The sequence below is a fragment of the Homo sapiens genome, chromosome 4 (genome assembly GCF_000001405.40).
Source record: "Homo sapiens chromosome 4, GRCh38.p14 Primary Assembly".
NCBI lineage: Eukaryota > Metazoa > Chordata > Mammalia > Primates > Hominidae > Homo > Homo sapiens.
The window spans coordinates 38,480,816-38,500,287 of NC_000004.12; the positions used below are offsets into that span (position 1 = coordinate 38,480,816).

At 40.0% G+C, this 19,472-nt stretch overlaps 1 long non-coding RNA gene across 1 annotated transcript in view; it reads right to left on the reverse strand.

Moving 5' to 3' along the window:
- Window positions 1-19,472, reverse strand: part of LINC01258 (long intergenic non-protein coding RNA 1258) — a 102,519-nt gene that overhangs the window by 60,154 nt on the left and 22,893 nt on the right. The window contains exon 2 of the long non-coding RNA NR_110951.1: window positions 13,178-13,283. This is a non-coding gene — a long non-coding RNA (long intergenic non-protein coding RNA 1258). The remainder of the gene's footprint in view (window positions 1-13,177; window positions 13,284-19,472) is intronic.

A 19,472-nucleotide genomic window follows, 5' to 3' on the forward strand; every position in this document is an offset into this window, starting at 1 on the left:
ATGAACTCCCATTCACAATTGCTTCAAAGAGAATAAAATACCTAGGAATCCAACTTACAAGGGATGTGAAGGACCTCTTCAAGGAGAACTACAAACCACTGCTCAATGAAATAAAAGAGGACACAAACAAATGGAAGAACATTCCATGCTCATGGATAGGAAGAATCAATATCATGAAAATGGCCATACTGCCCAAGGTAATTTATAGATTCAATGCCATCCCCATCAAGCTATCAATGACTTTCTTCACAGAATTGGAAAAAACTACTTTAAAGTTCATATGGAACCAAAAAAGAGCCCACATTGCCAAGTCAGTCCTAAGCCAAAAGAACAAAGCTGGAGGCATCACACTACCTGACTTCAAACTATACTACAAGGCTACAGTAACCAAAACAGCATGGTACTGGTACCAAAACAGAGATATAGACCAATGGAACAGAGCAGAGCCCTCAGACATAATGCCACATATCTACAACTATCTGATCTTTGACAAACCTGACAAAAACAAGAAATGCGGAAAGGATTCCCTACTTAATAAATGGTGCTGGGAAAACTGGCTAGCCATATGTAGAAAGCTGAAACTGGATCCCTTCCTTATACCTTATACAAAAATTAATTCAAGATGGATTAAAGACTTAAAGACTTAAATGTGAGACCTAAAACCATAAAAACCCTAGAAGAAAACCTAGGCAATACCATTCAGGACATAGGCATGGGCAAGGACTTCATGTCTAAAACACCAAAAGCAATGGCAACAAAAGACAAAATTGACAAATGGGATCTCATTAAACTAAAGAGCTTCTGCACAGCAAAGAAACTACCATCAGAATGAACAGGCAACCTACAGAATGGGAGAAACTGTTTGCAATCTACTCATCTGACAAAGGGCTAATATCCAGAATCTACAATGAACTCAAACAAATTTACAAGAAAAAAACAAACAACCCCATCAAAAAGTGGGTGAAGGATATGAACAGACACTTCTCAAAAGAAGACATTTATGCAGCCAACAGACACATGAAAAAGTGCTCATCATCTCTGGCCATCAGAGAAATGCAAATCAAAACCACAGTGAGATACCATCTCACACCAGTTAGAATGGCGATCATTAAAAAGTCAGGAAACAACAGGTGCTGGAGAGGATGTGGAGAAATAGGAACACTTTTACACTGTTGGTGGGACTGTAAACTAGTTCAAGCATTGTGGAAGTCAGTGTGGCGATTCCTCAGGGATCTAGAACTAGAAATACCATTTGAGCCAGCCATCCCATTACTGGGTATATACCCAAAGGAATATAAATCATGCTGCTATAAAAACACATGCACACGTATGTTTACTGCGGCACTACTCACAATAGCAAAGACTTGGAACCAACCCAAATATCCAACAATGATAGACTGGATTAAGAAAATGTGGCACATATACACCATGGAATACCATGCAGCCATAAGAAAGGATGAGTTCATGTCCTTTGTACGGACATGGATGAAGCTGGAAAGCATCATTCTCAGCAAACTATTGCAAGGACGAAAAACCAAACACCGGGGAACATCACACACCGGGGCCTGTTGTGGGGTTGGGGGAGGGGGAAGGGATAGCATTAGGAGATATACCTAATGTAAATGACGAGTTAATGGGTACAGCACAACAACATGGCACATGTATACATATGTAACAAACCCGCACGCTGTGCACATGTACCCTAGAACTTAAAGTATAATACAAAATATATATATATATAATAAAAAAAAACAGTGGGAGAAAGGGTAAATAAACATGATACATCCACAAGATAACATATTTAAAAAAAAACCAGAAAAACAGTGTTTCTGTCTTCCAATTATAGCTTATTTCCCAAAGCTGACCAAGTTCTGTGATGTAGATGAAGTTGCAAAGTCTAGCACATTTTTTAAGTAGAGCAACATGCTTGTACTATTCAATATTCACAAGGATTTTTAATTCTATGAAGTAGATCTATACCTTAGGGACTTCCTGGGTCATAAAGGAAATTATAGCTGGGGAATGATGTCGCCAGTTTAAAACCCAGGTGTTTTAATTAATTCACAGGTTAGAAGATAGTATCAACAACAGGAAATGTGGGCAGTTTCTTTGAACTGAGTTCATTTAAACTACATATTTGTAGAGAATCATTCATTTGTGCAAGGAGGTATAATCATCCTTCCAATGGTGTGACTGGGAGCCAGGGACACACAGGAGATGAGGTCATCCTTCCCCACCAGGCAGTGGAGTTTTGTTGTTGTGCCCCAAGAATCACAAACAATAGAAAACAAATTTATGTTTCAAAGTTCCCCTCACTATACATTACCTGAGAGTCCAGTTTGACAATAACATATCATAGAAATAAGAAAAAGTTCAAAAACCAAGCACTTAACCTCCCCCAGCAGTCTTAAATCAGTCTAAATCAGCAGTCTAAAACAGACTGATTTAGGGGGTTGGTTGCTCAGATGGAGTAGTACATAAGACCCATGGGTTAATTGGTACCCTGTCGCCTCATGGAAAAGGTTGTTTGGATCTGTCTACCTGAATAAAGTAACTGCAGAAAGAAAATAAATAAATGAGACATAGTGTTAGTATCAGCTATAGTGAGCAGCATCAAAAATATCTATTGTTAAGTAATTGTTAAAAAAATTGTAACTTTTATTTTAGGTTCAGGGGTACATACTTAGTTTCGTTATACAGGTAAACTCATGACTCAGGGGTTTGCTGTATAAACTAATTTATCATCTGGTTACTAAGCATAGTACCCAACAGGGTTTTTTTTGTTTTGTTGTTTGTTTTATCTAAACCTCTCCCTCCTCCCACCTCCCACCCTCAAGGAGGACCCAGTGTCTGTTATTCCCCTCTTTCTGTTCATGTGTTCTCATCATTTAGCTTCCACTTATAAGTGAGAACATGTGGTATTTGGTTTTCTGTTCCTGCATTAGTTTACTAAGGATAATGGCCTCCAGTTCCATCCAGGTTCCTGCAGAGGACATGATCTTATTCTTTTTTATGGCTGCATAGTATTCCATGGTATATATGCACCACATTTTCTTTATTCAGTCTACTGTTGTAGGGCATTTAGGTTAATTCCATGTTTATGCTACTGTAAATAGTGCTGCAGTGAATATATGCATGCATGTGTCTTTATGGTAGAATCATTTCTATTGTTTTGGATATATATGCAGTAGTGGGATTGCTGGGTCAAATGGTAGTTCTGGTTTTAGTTCTTTGAGGAATCACCACACTGTTTTCCACAATGGTTGAACTAATTTACACTCCCATTAGCAGTGAATAAGCATTCCCTTTTCTCTGCAACCTCACCAGCATCTGTTATTTTTTGACTTTTTTAACAATAGCCATTCTGACTGCTGTGAGATGGTATCTCACTGCGGTTTTTATTTGCATTTCTGTAATGATTAGTGATATTGAGCATTTTTCATACGTTTGTTGGCCGCATGTATGTCTTCTTTTGAAAAGTGTCTGTTTGTGTCCTTTGCCCATTTTTTAATGGGGTTGTTTGGTTTTTGCTTTACGTTTAAGTTCCTTGTAGATTCTGGATATTAGACCTTCATCAGATGTATATTTTACAAATATCTTCTCCCATTCTGTAGGTTGCCTTTTTTACTCTGTTGAAAGTTACTCTTGCTGTGCAGAAGCACTTTAGTTTAATTTGTCAATTTTTTCTTTTGTTGCAATTGCTTTTGGCATTTTCATCATGAAATCTTTGCCAGTTTCTATGTCCAAAATGGTATTTCCTAGGTTATCTTCCAGGTTTTTATAGTCTTAGGTTTTACATTTAGGTCTTTAATCCATCTTGAGTTGATTTTTGTACACTGTGAAAGGATGAGGTCCAGCTTCAATCTTCTGCATATGGCCAGCCAGTTATCCCAGCACCATTTACTGAATAGAGAGTCCTTTCCCCATGCTTGTTTTCGTCAGTTTTGTCAAAGATCAGATTGTTGTAGGTGTGTCTCTTTATTTCTGGGCTCTCACAGAATGAGAAAAAACTATTTACAAATTCATATGGAACCAAAAAAGCGCCCAAACAGCCAAGGCAATCCTAAGCAAAAAGAACCAAGCTGGGGGAATCACACTGCCCAACTTCAAACTGTACTGCAAGCTACTGTAACCAAAACAGCACGGTACTGATACAAAAACAGACATGTAGACCAATGTAAGTACTTTTTAAAGCTTATCATTTGCCTTATAATTTAGTTATTATACTTATATTTATTTATTTATATATTGTATATTATTTATTATATGGTATATTAATATATACATATATTTATATTTACAATTTTTTTTTTTTTTTTTTTTTGAGACGGAGTCTCGCTCTGTCGCCCAGGCCGGACTGCGGACTGCAGTGGCTCAATCTCGGCTCACTGCAAGCTCCGCTTCCCGGGTTCACGCCATTCTCCTGCCTCAGCCTCCCGAGTAGCTGGGACTACAGGCGCCCGCCACCACGCCTGGCTAATTTTTTTGTATTTTTAGTACAGACGGGGTTTCACCTTGTTAGACAGGATGGTCTCGATCTCCTGACCTCATGATCCACCCGCCTCGGCCTCCCAAAGTGCTGGGATTACAGGTGTGAGCCACCGCGCCTGGCCTACAATTATTTTTTAACTTACGGAAGTTTTACTTATTCAGACACATAGACCCATCTTCTTTAGGGTTTCCATCTTTGATATTGTTTAGACAGACAGTCACCAAATAAAAAGCCACCTTCCATAAAGTGCTTGTAGCCATGGTCTCTCTTCCTGGAGAAAGTCCATCTTTAAGGTGAGTAGATCTCACCCTAGGCTTCTGGGTTGACATTATCTGGGGCAGTGGGGACTACATTAAAACCTCACTTATTTTATTGGCCAAGATAGGTATACATTCTCCTTTAATTTGGTTGCCTTTGGCAGACATGTCTTGTGCTTGGCCCTGGGCCCTCCCAGCCCCATTATTATTGTTATTATTATTATTTCACTTATTTATTTTTTTGAGACGGAGTCTCGCTCTGTCGCCCAGGCTGGAGTGCAGTGGCGCGATCTCGGCTCACTGCAAGCTCCGCCTCCCGGGTTCACGCCATTTTCCTGCCACAGCCTCCCGAGTAGCTGGGACTACAGGCGCCCGCCACCATGCCTGGCTAATTTTTTTTGCATTTTTAGTAGAGACGGGGTTTCACCGTGTTAGCCAGGATGGTCTCGATCTCCTGACCTCGTGATCCACCTGCCTCGGCCTCCCAAAGTGCTGGGATTACAGGCGTGAGCCACCACACCCGGCCCCCAGCCCCATTATTTTTGCACCTGGTCACTTCCCACCGAAGTTACCCACCTGGCCCTTGCAGGCATGTGCATAGGAAGCCTGGCTGCACAGGACCTCCTGACCAGAGAAGAAACAGAACTCAATCAGAAAAATCCGAGGGAAGTACTCTGACCCAGCTTAGGTAGCTATGGCTAGAAGGTTGGGGTCTGTTTCCAGAAGAAAGGGGAGAGAGAGAGGAAAAGGAGTGAGGCAAAGGAGAGCTATCGTATTGCTCCTGTAATACGATAGGATCAGTATTGCTCCTGCTGCTGGAGTCTTCAAGTATGTCATGAGTTCAGCTCTGTAAGAGAGGACCTAACTGAGTGGGCTAGCCACTATTATTCCAGAGAGGCAGAGACAGGTATAACTACATAAGCTATTGACCAGCTAAAGAATGAATATTCTTAGGTCCAATGCCCTCCCTCAGTCTAATCCTCAGAAGTCAACAGGGCCAGGGCCTTGGAATACAGGCATGATGGCCTACACATGAGGAAGTGCTCAGAAGGGGCTGTGGGTATGGTAGGCATCCTTTGGCTTTGTCTGAGTGAGCATTATAACTGGCATGCACCTGCTTAACAGGTCCAATATGTCACTTACAAACTGCCAAGAACTATACTAATCATACTGTTTTACTTAATTGTCTTAATAGCTTTTGAGCTGAGGCTCATTGTTCTCATTTTCTAAGACACATGAGAGCAAATATATATATTAAACTATTAGGACAAGACTTTAGAATCTGGCTGGTATTGTAAGATCACAATAAGTATTGTTGTCAACTCAATTCAGTGAGACAGAGTCATCTTAACTTTCCAGCAATGCACAATATTTTAACACTCAACCAGCCCTAAACAAGGTCATGGCTAACAGCAGCACAAACACCCAGCAGATTCAGTACCAAAAGCAAAATTGTGAGATTAAGTATCAAAGAGTTCCTAAGGGTGTCCTCTTAGTCCGTTCAGGCTGCTATAACAAAATGCCATAAACTAGGAGGCTTACAAACAACAGGAATTCATTTCTCACAGTTCTGGAAGCTGAGAAGTCCAAGATCGAGGTGCTACCAGATTCAGTGAAGGTCAATTTGTCACTGTGTCCTCAAATGATGGAAAGGAAGAACTCTGGTCTCTTCAGCCCCTTATAATATAAAGGTCCATCCTCATGACCTAATCATGTTCAAAAGGCCCCACCTCCTAATACCATCACATGGGGGGTTAGGATTTCAACATATGAATTTTTGTGAGGGAGACACAAACATTTAGACCATAACAGATTTTATGTTTAAAAATTCAAAAATTTGCAGAAGGAAGTATGGATTTTATTTTGAGGTAGTAGATCACCTCCATTAAGTAAAAATCTTTGTAAAATAAGTAATTCACTACCAAGTCCCCTACGTTTGTCTCATCAGTAAGAATGAGAATAATCAGTTATCGCTTCCCATAAACCCATTGTCTCATAAACCCTACAGCTTGGCCAGCCCCATAATTTAGCAAACTAAGGAGTCCATTTAATTTTGATAGTGTTATGGTTCATAACTAGTTCTAAAACTAGAAGACTGGAGAAAGACACATGACTAGAAGGAAGTTCCATGAAGCTACTAAATATGGTAGAAATTGGTTATACCCTAAGGAGAACACAGAAACGCAGTAGCCAAAAAGCTCCTGTCTCTGAAAACATCTCATAAGCTTTTAGAAAAGCGGAGCCAGGAAGATTCATAGACAGTCTGAATTTCTTTTCTTTTTTTAAGAGACAGGGTCTCACTCTGTCACCGAGACTGGAGTGCAGTGGTGTGATCATGGCTCACTGCATCCTCAAACTCCTAGGCTCAAATGACTTTCCCGCTTCAGCCTCTGGAGTAGCTGGGGCTATACGAGTGTACCACCATGGCTGGCTATTTTTAATTTTTTTTTTTTTTGTAGAGATGTGTGTCTCACTGTGTTGCCCAGGCTAGTCTCGAACTCTTGGGCTCAAGTGATTCTCCTGCCTCAGCCTCCCAAATCCCTGGGATTACAGGCATGAGCCACCATGCCTGACCACAGTCTGAATCTCATAGAGGAAATATTTCTATCCAGAATAGGGCTTCTGGGACCTCTAACAACTTATGCAGCAAAATGTAGCCTCTCTAGACTGCAAGCCCACCCACACTAGTCAAAAAGTTAGCATCTGTCAGTTCTCTGCTGTCCATTCTGGGGAAGAATTATGCCACAGCAAATTCTTTTTTTAGTGTGCTCACCTTTTACATTATGAAAATGGTTCAAGTTAATATAAGAAAATTTAGAATAGTAGAGAGAAGAATAAAAGAAATCACCTATAGTCCCACTATCCAGATAACCACTTTTTTTTTTTTTTTTTTTTTTTAGAGAAGGAATTTCACCATGTTGCTGAGGCTGGTCTTGAACTCCTGAGCTCAGGCAATGTGCCTGCCTCAGCCTCTCAAAGTTCTAGGATTACAGGCGTGAGCCACTTAGCCTGGCCTCCACTACCCAGATAACTACTATTAAACTTTTTAATACAGGTTAAACATCCAAAATTCAAAAACCCAAAATGCAAATGCTCCAAAATCTGAAACTTTTGAAGCACTGATGTGACACTCAAAGGAAATTCTCATTCTGAGTTTTTTGGATTTTGGATTTTTCAGTGATGCTCAGCGGGTAAGTATAATGCAAATATTCCAAAATTTAAAAAAGAAAAAATCCAAACTCCAAAACAGTTCCAATCCAAGCATTTGGATAAGGATATTCAGTCTGTAATAGGGTCCTTTCTGATCTTTCTTCCACGTATATAAAGTTTTGGTTTATTGGTTTTGTTTGTTTTATACATTGCAGTAGCTAGCCAAAATATTCACTTAGCATGCTTCTTTATTTTTTCACTTAAAATCATAACACACGTGTCCCCCTATGTGGTTATGTAAGCTTCCTAAACATTGTCTTGAATGGCTGCATAAATTCCTAATCCTGCATCAGCTCCTCCCTGCAACCCCAGCCTTCCCAGTCCAGCTCCACCCAGAGTCAGCTGGTATGTGCTTAGAAAAGGCAAGCTCATTTTATCATAAAACAGCCCTGTCCGGTAAGGAAAATCTGCTGCCCCCAAACTCCTAATGCATTTCATTACCTTTGAATTATCAGTTTGGAATTATTCACATCACTGCCCTTAATTATCCACCTCACTGCCTTCTTCATTAGCATGGAGGGTGGATCCCTGGCTGGGCTGTATTCTCTTCAGAGCTTCAGTCACTTCTGATTAGTGAGTTGCTTAGAAAATGCCCTTAGCTCCAGCAGGCCACTGCCAGTTAGTGTCCTGCACCGGCAAAGTGTTTCATTTATATTCTGTCTCTGGGTCAGCGAGGATGCGATGGGTTAGTAGGGTGGGGGATGGGGGCAGTAAGGGACGGCCAGGCCTAGGGCTGCTCCCGCCCTTACCTTCCACCTCTCCTCCTTCTACTCTGTTCTCCTTTCCTCTCTTCCCTGCCCCCCGAGCTAGTTCCTGCTTATGCGTTCTCTCTCTCTCTCTATCTCTCTCTCTCTCTCTCTCTCTCTCTCTCTCCCAATCTCTGTCCTCTCTCTCTCTCCAGCTTTCCCCTCAGCAGAAGAAAATAGTTGGGCTCTGGAAGCTTAGAGTGTGAGACAAAAGCAACCTACAATCCTATAATACTTGTCATTCCTCCACCTCCCTGGCCCTCCTGCCACTCAAGATGGCCCTGAACAAAAGGCCCCAATCTGACCCCCAAGACAGGCCAAAGCGGATTCAAAGCAGGGATTTGAATCCATTTAAGCTAAGCAAACCCGATGACCACAAACTGGCCACACTCAATTTACTAACCTCTAAGTCAAGCAGAAACCTGAGTTTTCTTTTCCTTCTTTTTTTTAATAGGAGTCAAGTAAACTGGTTTCTCAGATGTATAGACAGTATTTCTAAAGGCTTGAAGCAGGACATAAACACAGCCTCCAAAGTAAAACACAACCGTAACAACACTCTGCTATCATTCAGCATGAGTTCCTGTCAAAAGCACTTCCTTTAGAAATGATACACCTTTGCAAACTCTCTACCACTTAAAAGGAATCCCTGGTAGATAGACATGTTTTATTTTCTTAAACATTAGCCTGTAAATGCTATTGCTGAGTGTTGCTTTCTAAAAGGCTGGCAATCTCATAACCGATTGGTTTGGTTCCCATCTATTGCTCAAAAATATGTACGTGAAATATCCTGTCCCAGGACCAGGGCTTGTTGCTTACCAGCTGGGACAGTCAGAGGCTGTTTGCTCCCCAGTCCCAAGGCGAACAGAGGCTCCTTGTCTGGAAGGAGCCAGCAGGAAGTGCCTGCTGCTCTAGTGTAAACGTGGACGTTCACTTAAGAAGTCAGGCTGTCTAGAGGATGAACGCTGATCAGACAGGATGGAATAATTAGGACAGAGAGCTCTGACAGTGACAAATAGGAAAGTTTGGGTCATATCTGAGCTGTAGGCTGCTTCTGGGGCCACCATTTGCCTAAAACTTCAGCAGGATTGTTTTAGGGAATTTAAAGAAGTGACTGATTTGTACAATAGAATATTTGATCTTCAGGAAAAATGTTCTCAACTTTTCTGAGTCACCACCTACTAATAGAAACTACTGAAAAACTGCTCAGTGGTCATTTCATAGACTAGCTTCCATTGATCCCACCAGCCAATGCACTTTTCCAATTGTCTCATTTATATATTTACATACTTGCTTATTCATTTTTGTAATGAGATATTTATTAAGTATGAACTACATGCTAGGCATCTTAAGTGGGAAACAACTTGGGAAGATGCCCACTGGTCCTGGCAGAGCCTTGGCATTCTCTTATCCTCTCTCTCTCTCTCCCTTTCTCTCTCTCACACATGCACACACACAAACACACACACACACTATATGTTCTATCACTTTATCAAGCGCTTACTAGGTAGCATGCATGCTGCCAAGTACTTTATATACATTATCCTTTTATATACATTATCTTTTTTAATCCTCATGGCAACAATATGCAGTAGAAATTGTTTTCCTAATTTTCCCGTTGAGAAAATTCAAGTTCCGAGAGGTTACATAGTTTGCCCAAGATTACACAACTCACAGGTGGCAAAGTTAGGATGCAAAACAAAGTCTGACTGATTCCAAAGTCTGTGCTTTTTGATCCACTGCATGATAATGGCCTCTCTGTGCTCAGCAAACACAGGGTTGACCCCAGCAGCCAAAGATCTGGCTTCCAGTAATCTCCCACATGCTCACAAGGTGCGCCTTGAAAAAGTGGACACAGGAGACAGTGGGAAAGGCCAAAGGTGTTGATACAAAACTTCTTCAGAAAAATCATATTTTCATGCCAGATCCTAGAAAGTTCAAACTGGAGGGGACCTTGAAATTTCTCTATGCTGAACAACCTCAGATTCACCAACAGAAGAATGGGCTACATCAAATGGTCTATTCATTTAATGGAACATTATGCAGAACAAACCAGAGCCACATGCATCAACATGAATTAACCTCAAAAACATGATAGGAAATTTTTAAAAGGTAAATTGAAGAACAATGTGAATAGTCATAACACTCATTTCAAGTGTAAAAACCAGTAAAATGATGCTATACATTGTTTGTAAACAGGTATAGATATAACATAAAATGTACATGGGAATGATAAACTCCAGAAATGATTAAAGGATAATGATTATTTCCAGGGGTGAAGGAAAGAGAATAAAGTTAGGGAGGGGGTTCAGAAGAGGCTTCAAAATTATCTTCAAACATATAAAGAAGCAATCATGGAAAAGTAATAGGATATATTAGAGTGAGTGGTAGGTACAAATAGAATTGTTATATTATTCACTATGATTTTTTCAGCTGGAAATATTTCATAATTTTTAAACTAGTTTTACAAGAAAAGAAACAGAGGTCCAGAGAGGTAAACTACTGGTCCAAGGTCACACAGCTAATGTTGGAGGTAGCATTAAAACACAGGCCTCCCATGTTCTCCGTGGCTTCTTCTCTGCTTTTCAGTACTTAGTGCACTCCCTGGGGTTCCTGATCAAGCTCCACAATTTAAGAATTGTGAAGCCACTGCGTGTCAAATGGACTGGCCTGCTCTCTTCTCCATGATTCATGTTTCTGGGCTCCCAGTTCTCAGTCCCCATGACCTAAGAACTACAGACATTTTAATACCTGGCGACCTTGAAACAGGAAGTTCAGAGAACCAAAAGCCACTAGCCAAATGGGTAGAAGGATCATGAACCACAATTCTAACAGTTTGGTTAGCTGCTTCCCTAGATATTATAAACATCATTAGACATTTCCAACTAGAATACAGGAGAGGAGGAGAGAGGACAAACAGTTCCCAGAGACAGGACAGCTGATAGGGACAACAGAGAAAGAAAAAATTTAAATAACAAATAAAAGACTTATAGTCCTGGCTGTTCAGAAGTGGCAATCAATTCATTAAAAATAACTTAAATTTAAAATGTTTGGGGGCTGTGGATCTCAAACCTGGGTGTGCAGGAGAATCACCTGAGATGCTTTTTCCAAAAACATTCCTATCTGAGTCCCATTCTACCAAATTTCACTCAATTGTGGTGAGACTGAGCTGAAGGAAAGTTCCAGCAATGTATACTCTTTTTTATTCATTTATTTGACAAATAAGTTAACTGTAATGACTCCAAGTTATCTTGATCAGCAGCATTATTAGACATTAAGAATGACCAATTTAAGATTTGCGAATGATACACAAAATGGATTGGCCAGCCCTCTTATCCACAACCCATGAGTCTCAGCTTCTGGTTTTCAATCCTCTTGGCATAAAATCTACATACATTTCAAAGTCTGAAGTCCTGAAATGGAAGTTAACAGGCATGAAGTTTCACTAGCGAAATAGCAAAAATCAAAAGCTATAGAACTTCTAAAACTATGAACGTGGACTATGAATTTCATAAACATTTTCCTGAGCCTATTAAGTTAAAAAGCATAATAATAATAATAATAATAATTGTTATTATAATCAAAGTTGCCATTTGTTGAGCACCTCCTCTGTGTGCTAGTACCAAATACTGTGCTAAACAGATAAGATTACACCCATGTTACAGGAGAGAAAGCTGAGGTCATCTAACTTGCACCAAAACACTTACTTAATAATGCTGGAGTTAGAATTTTAGCTGTGCCTATCTGATACACAAATCTATATTTTGCCTGTTACATAGCAGCAATGCTCATTCATCACACCTAAACAATTACACACACACACACACACACACACACACACACAGAGAGAGAGAGAGACAGAGACAGAGACAGAGACATAGACTGCTATCTTTCTTCTTGATCATCTTTTCCAGGTCAATTTCACTGAATTTTTAAAATCCCAGAAAACAAGAGGTTCATTAAAGCTAGAAGAATAATACAAGGACACTTATTTTACTTTAAAAGGAAAAAAAAGTTCCTGAAAAAACTGTAAAATCAATTTCTGCAAAACAAGTTAAATTTTTCCATTTGTGATTCCAGAGATGTATGCTTACAAAATGTTTTGACCTCAAGAAAAACTATGTAGTTTAAAATTGAAACATCCTTCGTCTCTGATAGGGAGTGAGAAGCTTGCCCCCTGTCATTGAGAGACCATGCTCAGCCTGTCAAAATCTGAAGCATTCTTAACATCCTATGTCCCACCCAACCCACCCCAGCTCCGCCCAGATCTGAAGGAGTCCTGGCACCTAAATCCATTTCTTCAACAAGGTGATTACCTATAGCCCTTGCTGGTTTACTCTAAGGAATAAAACAGCAGATCTGTCAAAGATGGAGGATATTTATGATGTTTCCAGTCCTTCAGGGTGTTGGAGTCACACTCTAGCCCAGACCCCTTTCTTGCTGGAGTGGTATCTTTGTGCAGTTCTAGCACTCACAGATCAATCCAGCATCCGGTTGACTGACAGAAAGTCAACTGCATGGATGTTCTAATACAAATCACTTTCAGGACCTCAGGGGTTCTGCAGTCAGGGACTCTTCTCCCTGAGAAGAAAAGCAAATGAATCAGACTTTTCTCCTTATGTTCAAATCCTTTAAAGTCAGCCTTGTACAGTGGGACTTTCTCTACCAAATAAAATATGAAATCTATAGACATGCTTTTGGGTTTTTAACATAAACTATTAAGAAACAATTCCAAGGCTGGGTGCAGTGGCTCATGCCTGTAATCCCAACACTTTGGGAGGCCGAGGCGGGCAGATCACGAGGTCAGGAGTTCGAGACCAGCCTGGCCAACATGGTGAAACCCCATCTCTACTAAAAAATACAAAAATTAGCCGGGCGTGTTGGCGCGTGCCTGTAGTCCCAAGCTGGGCAACAGAGCAAGACTCCATCTCAAAAAAAAAAAAAAAAAAAAAAAAAAGGAAGAAAAAGAAACACATCCTTATACAAATAAAGGACACTTGCTTACACAAATAAAGGATCCTAATTAGGTACTCTTATGTCATCTGAATAAAGTCGTCCTCTGATAAACAAAATTTTGAGTCTTCATTAAGTTGTAAAGTTGTATTAAAAGAAAATGTTCCCTGTACTCCTCCATTGACCTTCCCTCAGCCCTGGAAGCACGCTGTGTCTGTCCAATCATAAGTATAGATGATAAATAAAATGCGACAGGGACCATAGAGATCTAGAAAATGATAGGTATTTAATAAGTGCTTTGTGATTGATTGATTGATTATTTGAATTCCACATTCTGCCTTCTTTGATTCCGCCTCTATGTTGGGTTTTTATGGCATTTACATCTCCCACGACTGTGCACATCCCCAAGACACCCACTGTCCCTATCTCCTCGGTTATTGTGACTTGTCTAGATGCGATTTGGAGGGTTTTTTGTTTTTGTTTTTGAGACGGAGTCTCACTCTGTCGCCCAGGCTGGAGTGCAGTGGCACAATTTCAGCTCACTGCAGCCTCCGCCTCCCAGGTTCAAGCAATTCTTCTGCCTCAGCCTCCTGAGTAGCTGGGACCACAGGCGCATGCCACCATGCCCAGCTAATTTTTGTATTTTTAGTAGAGACAGGGTTTCACCATGTTGGCCAGGCTGGTCTCGAACTCCTGACCTCAAGTGATTTGCCCACCTCGGCCTCCCACTAAATGCAGTTTGGTGAACCTGTTCATTTCTGAACCAGATAATGAAGGAGTTAAAGACCAAAAAAAGCATTAAAAAAAAATAACAAAAGCAACAATAATAAAAGTCTCCAGGAATAAGCAAGACTTCAACAAAACAGTCCACTAACACTTGAAAGAGACAAGCAGGGTCTAACTCCACTCCCTCCCACCCCAGAATCACTGCAGCTTACAGTAGTCATTCAAAAGGACCACATGATCACTAACATTGAACTGCAATGGTCTCTGGCTTTGTATACCCACCTCCTGTGGATATAACAGCATCCTCTTTGAACCAGCAAGGTACCAGTGTGGGTTTACTTCTGAGGCATACCCCTGGAAAAGTGCCTCCAATTCAGCCCTTGTGGTAGCCAGAGGGGAGAATCATTGCCTCCTCCACACTAAAGCCTGGTGAAGGCTCAGAAAAATGTGGAAACAGTTGCCAGATACCTGGAGCCGCGTGGTGACTGACAGCTAGGGAATTGCCAGGCTTTCATGGAAAGAGCCCCTTTGTTTTCATCAGCATGATTGGAATTCTAACCTAGTGCAGACCTAGCCCCACAGACTCAGGATTTTAGTTAGAGGAGTAGAACCCAACCTGGTTCCTCCCCACCGGAATGTGTTTTGTAATCTGAGTGATTTGAGCACATGCACCCATTTTAAATTTTTCTGATGTTATTAAACAGAAAACTGAAAGATAATGTATATTTTTTAATTTTCTGGAAAATGTGGAATAATAGAATAGAGCAGGGGTTGGCAAACTGTGGCCTGAGGTCAAAATCTGGCCTATGATGTGTTTTTATATGACCCATAAGCTATAAATGGTTTTCACATTTTTAAATAGTGGGGAAAAAAGTCAAAAAAAGAATAATATTTCACAATATGTGAAATTATATAATATTCAAATTTGTATTAATAATTAAAATTGTATTGGAACACAATGCCCACTCACTATGTGTGATCTAACTACTTTTGCATTGCAATGGCAGAGCGGAATTGTTGCAACAGTCATCGTATGAACCACAAAGCACAAAATACTTGGCCATTTACAGAAAAAGTTTGCTGACCTCTGGAATAAAGAAAGGAAAAAAAATAATAAAACCCAAAGTTTGACTTTCCCAAAGCAACATTATTTTCTACCTTTTTCCAGTTTGATTTCTACTGACAGAGAAGGCCTTGCATTATTTTAATTTGTGTTTTTTAAAAATAATATATTTCTCTTAAAAAGAATATAACCTAATCACTGTAGAAATGGAAAGTAGCATAAAAGAATAAAGAATGTAAGCATTGCCAATAATTAATCTCAACATGCAGAGAAACAAATGCTCACATTCTAGTATGTATCCTTTTAATCTTTTTATATGTATTTTTCCCAGCTTTTATAACATTTGGCTCATAATATTTTGTATTTTGCTTTTACTAAAATTTAAATTATGAGCATTTCTTGCAAACCTTTTGATATTAAAATCAATTAAAGTAAAATGTTTCTCCCCATTCCTTGAATGATGCTGCTTTACTATTATTATTATTTTACCACATCATATGGTCTTCTTTTTTTCAGAATTACCAGGAAAATAGTTAAAGCTAATTTCTGTGAGCTTAGAAATTTTGCAGTTTTTTCAAGTTACCAGAACCTTTATGGTCTGCTCTGTACTTCTTTAAAGAAATATGACATTTTTTTTAATAAGCAAACCATTAAAAATACCTAGTGCCATAGTTCTCTAGGCTTTTGTTTTTTTCAATCTAACAGGAGAATGAGAAGCTTTCCAATTGGAGCTTTATTGGTTTCTATGTTATTAAGTATAATATTTCTGCATGTCTTGTTATTAAGTATATTTCTGCATGTCTATAATATCTTCCCTGTATCTATGAAGAAATACTAATATGAAACATAATCACACTTGCAAAAATAGGCCAATTTCTTCTGCGAGATCAATTGTTGAAAAGCATTACTAATTACTAGAGGGGTCATTTTATTCTATTATCAAAGGGCATATATTGGAAATAAAAACTGTTTTGAAACCCCACCTAGCAACAGGCTATGGTAACGCATAACTATTATATTTAACCCAATTTATTTCCTTAGGTTTCAGTGGCAAAGATTCAACATAAAAAGATTAAAGGATTTGAGTGGTTGGCAGGGGAACCTATGCTTCCTTGTGCTAACTTTTCTTGCTATCACAAAAGGAGACTCCCAAAGCTGTTGTTGGAAACAAGCTACATTGAAAACTAATGCCTTCAGTTCCACACATGGCTTTTGTTCTATGCAGAAACTGGAGTTGTCTTTGTTTTACGTTACAACTTCTACTCTCCAGATGGAATTGAGGGACATTGAATCAATTTGAAAAACCAAAGTTTTTACTGTAAGTGATGCATGTCAAGGCACAGGACCTCACTGTGGATAACCAGAGTGTGGAGTTGAATTCATTTTGGTTCCCTTAACTGCGCAGAGGGCAACAATTAAGTTTATTGTAGTAAGGACAAACTAGTGATTAGCTGTGATCTGTAAATCTTAGTTCACTGAAACCCTAAAACCTTTAGGCTGTTTATTGCAATCACAGTGGTTTCCATCATCCAAAGAAAGAAGGGAAGCAAAGAAAAATGGGGAGAAGGAAGGAAGGGAGGGAGGGAAGGAGGGAGGGAAGAAGGGAGGGAGGAAGGGAGGAAGGGAGAGAGGTATATATGTTGGTATATAAGAGCTTTTATTAGCATCTTTCTGTGTTAATAATGGAACCCTTGCAGCTGAGGAATTCTTTGATGATTTACAGCCAAGAAGAAGAGTATCAAACTCCTGTTGATTTAAAATATATGCCTGTTTTCAACTACCATGGGCTCTCTCTTTTTGCTGCCAGATATAGTGATGAAGTTACAGAGATAATTCTTTCCATGAGGAGGAATCAGGGCAAGAAAACACATCTTGAAATGCAGTGAGAATCACCCCAGAACTCTGAGGTTGAACTGTGCTACATGTCAGTTTGCTCATCCACAAAGCAGGCAGATAATGCCACTCTGAGAAGGTGGGAGAGCTAAGGTGTTTGGCACACAGTAGGCCTTCAACAAACGATTTCTGACTTTGAGTAGATGGTATTCAGCAAATCTGTGGCTCCCTGAAACAAAAGAATGTCTTTCAGGCCACACATAAGGAAAGAGCTGGTATTTTATAAGCCACAGCATGAATTACCTCTCAGAGAGGTTAAGGTAACTTCTGTTAATGGCAGATATTTTACAGGGTCTTTTTAAATGGATTGGCCACTTCATGGTGCAAATACATTCTTAACAAGTTTCTGAGACCTATGTACTTCTGGAAGGAAGAAGTGTCTTCTCATCTGACTTAGCACCTGCATTATTACCCAGCATCTGAAAGCAAATCCAGCAAAAAGAAAACAGGGCAATTGTAAAAATTGTTTTCTAATAATCATTCATTGCTAACTTCCATCTAAATGTGACTGGCTCCCGGGGTGGACTGGACAGGGGCCAGGCTGTGGAGAATGGAAACAAAGGCTGGCATACTTCAGCCTGAAACTGGAGCGCTGGGTTTTGGAGATGAAAGGTAAGCCTTGGGCATACCTGGGCAGCAAGAGATAAAGGCAAACTCTGCTCCTCATCTTCATCAGCCACCTCTATCCTTCATGAGCTGGTGGCTGGGGAAAGGAGTCATAGCCACTGCCAACTCTTTTTCTCTTGGGGACTATGTGGAATGGACCTCTTGCTTTCCGTTATTGGTAGGTAATTTTTTGGTCGCTAAATTCTAACCACAAAGGCCTTTAGAGCAAGCTTGTCCAACCCGCAGCCTGTGGGCCACATGCGACCGAGGACGGCTTTGAATGCAGCCCAACACAAATTTGTAAACTTTCTTAAAACATTATAAGATATTTTTGCAACTTGGTTTTTAGCTCATCAGCTATCATTAGTGTATTTTATGTGTGGCCCAAGACAATTTTTCTTCTTCCAATGTGCCCCAAGGAACCCAAAATATTGGACACCTCTGCTTGAGAAGTTTCAAACATGAGCCTACATAGAAAAGGAGTGACAAGCTTAGGGTCCTGGAATGCTGGGTAGATGGTTCTGGAAATGCTCCCAACCTCAGTAAACCAATAAGGATCACAGCTATCTCTGCTGAGTGTTTAGTAAGTACTTTGAATATTTTCCTCTTTAATCACCACACCAACTCTATGAGGTAGACTTTTATTATCCCATGTTACAGGGGCAGAAACTGAGACACAGAAGTTAATTAACTAACCCAAAGTCACTCATCAGATCCCACAGTGACAGAACGTCTGATTTTGGATTAGACACATGGCCCCTCGGAATAAAGACTACATTTTCCAGCTTCCCTTGCAGCCAGGTACAGACATGAGACTAAGATCTGGCCAATGGGATATGAAGTGAAATGGCATGGTATGGGTAACTTCCTGGACTTACCTTTAAGTAGAAAGTGCTCCCCCACCACCACTTTCCCCTCTTCCATACCACCACTTGGAATGTTGATGAAGAAATGAGGCATCTTGAACCTTACATTTGAAAACCTCGTCCTATGGACAGTGCAACAAGATTAAGTTCCTGGACAGCCATGCAGTGTGGAGCAGCTCTCTCAGTCCTAGGCCACCTATCTCAGACTGTTAAGTAAAAAAAAAAAATAGCTTTCTATCTTGTTCAAACCTCCATTATTTCAGGTTTCTTTTATGTAGCAAGCTATATCCTAACCTGCTTCATAGCCAAGCTGGAGTTTAACCCAGTTTTGTCTAATTGCAAAGCCATGCTCTTATCTACCACATGGTTATAGTTCTAGGTGCTATCATCAGAAGAACAGTATACATTCACAATGGAAGAAGTATTCGTAATTCCTTCTTCCAAACATAAGACCACTCTTGACCAGTTTATTCTAAAGGATAATGGTGTCCCAATTAAAGGACCCTCTCAGTATGAAGCTCCTATAAAATAAAGTTTGCATGGCATTCACAGGTATCAGTAGGGCTGGCTGATGGTCTTCTTGAACTGTTCATATTCATGGCTTCCATTAAACAAAAGGATCTGAAGACCTTGCTTTTTTTTTTTCTTTTTTGATACAGTTGA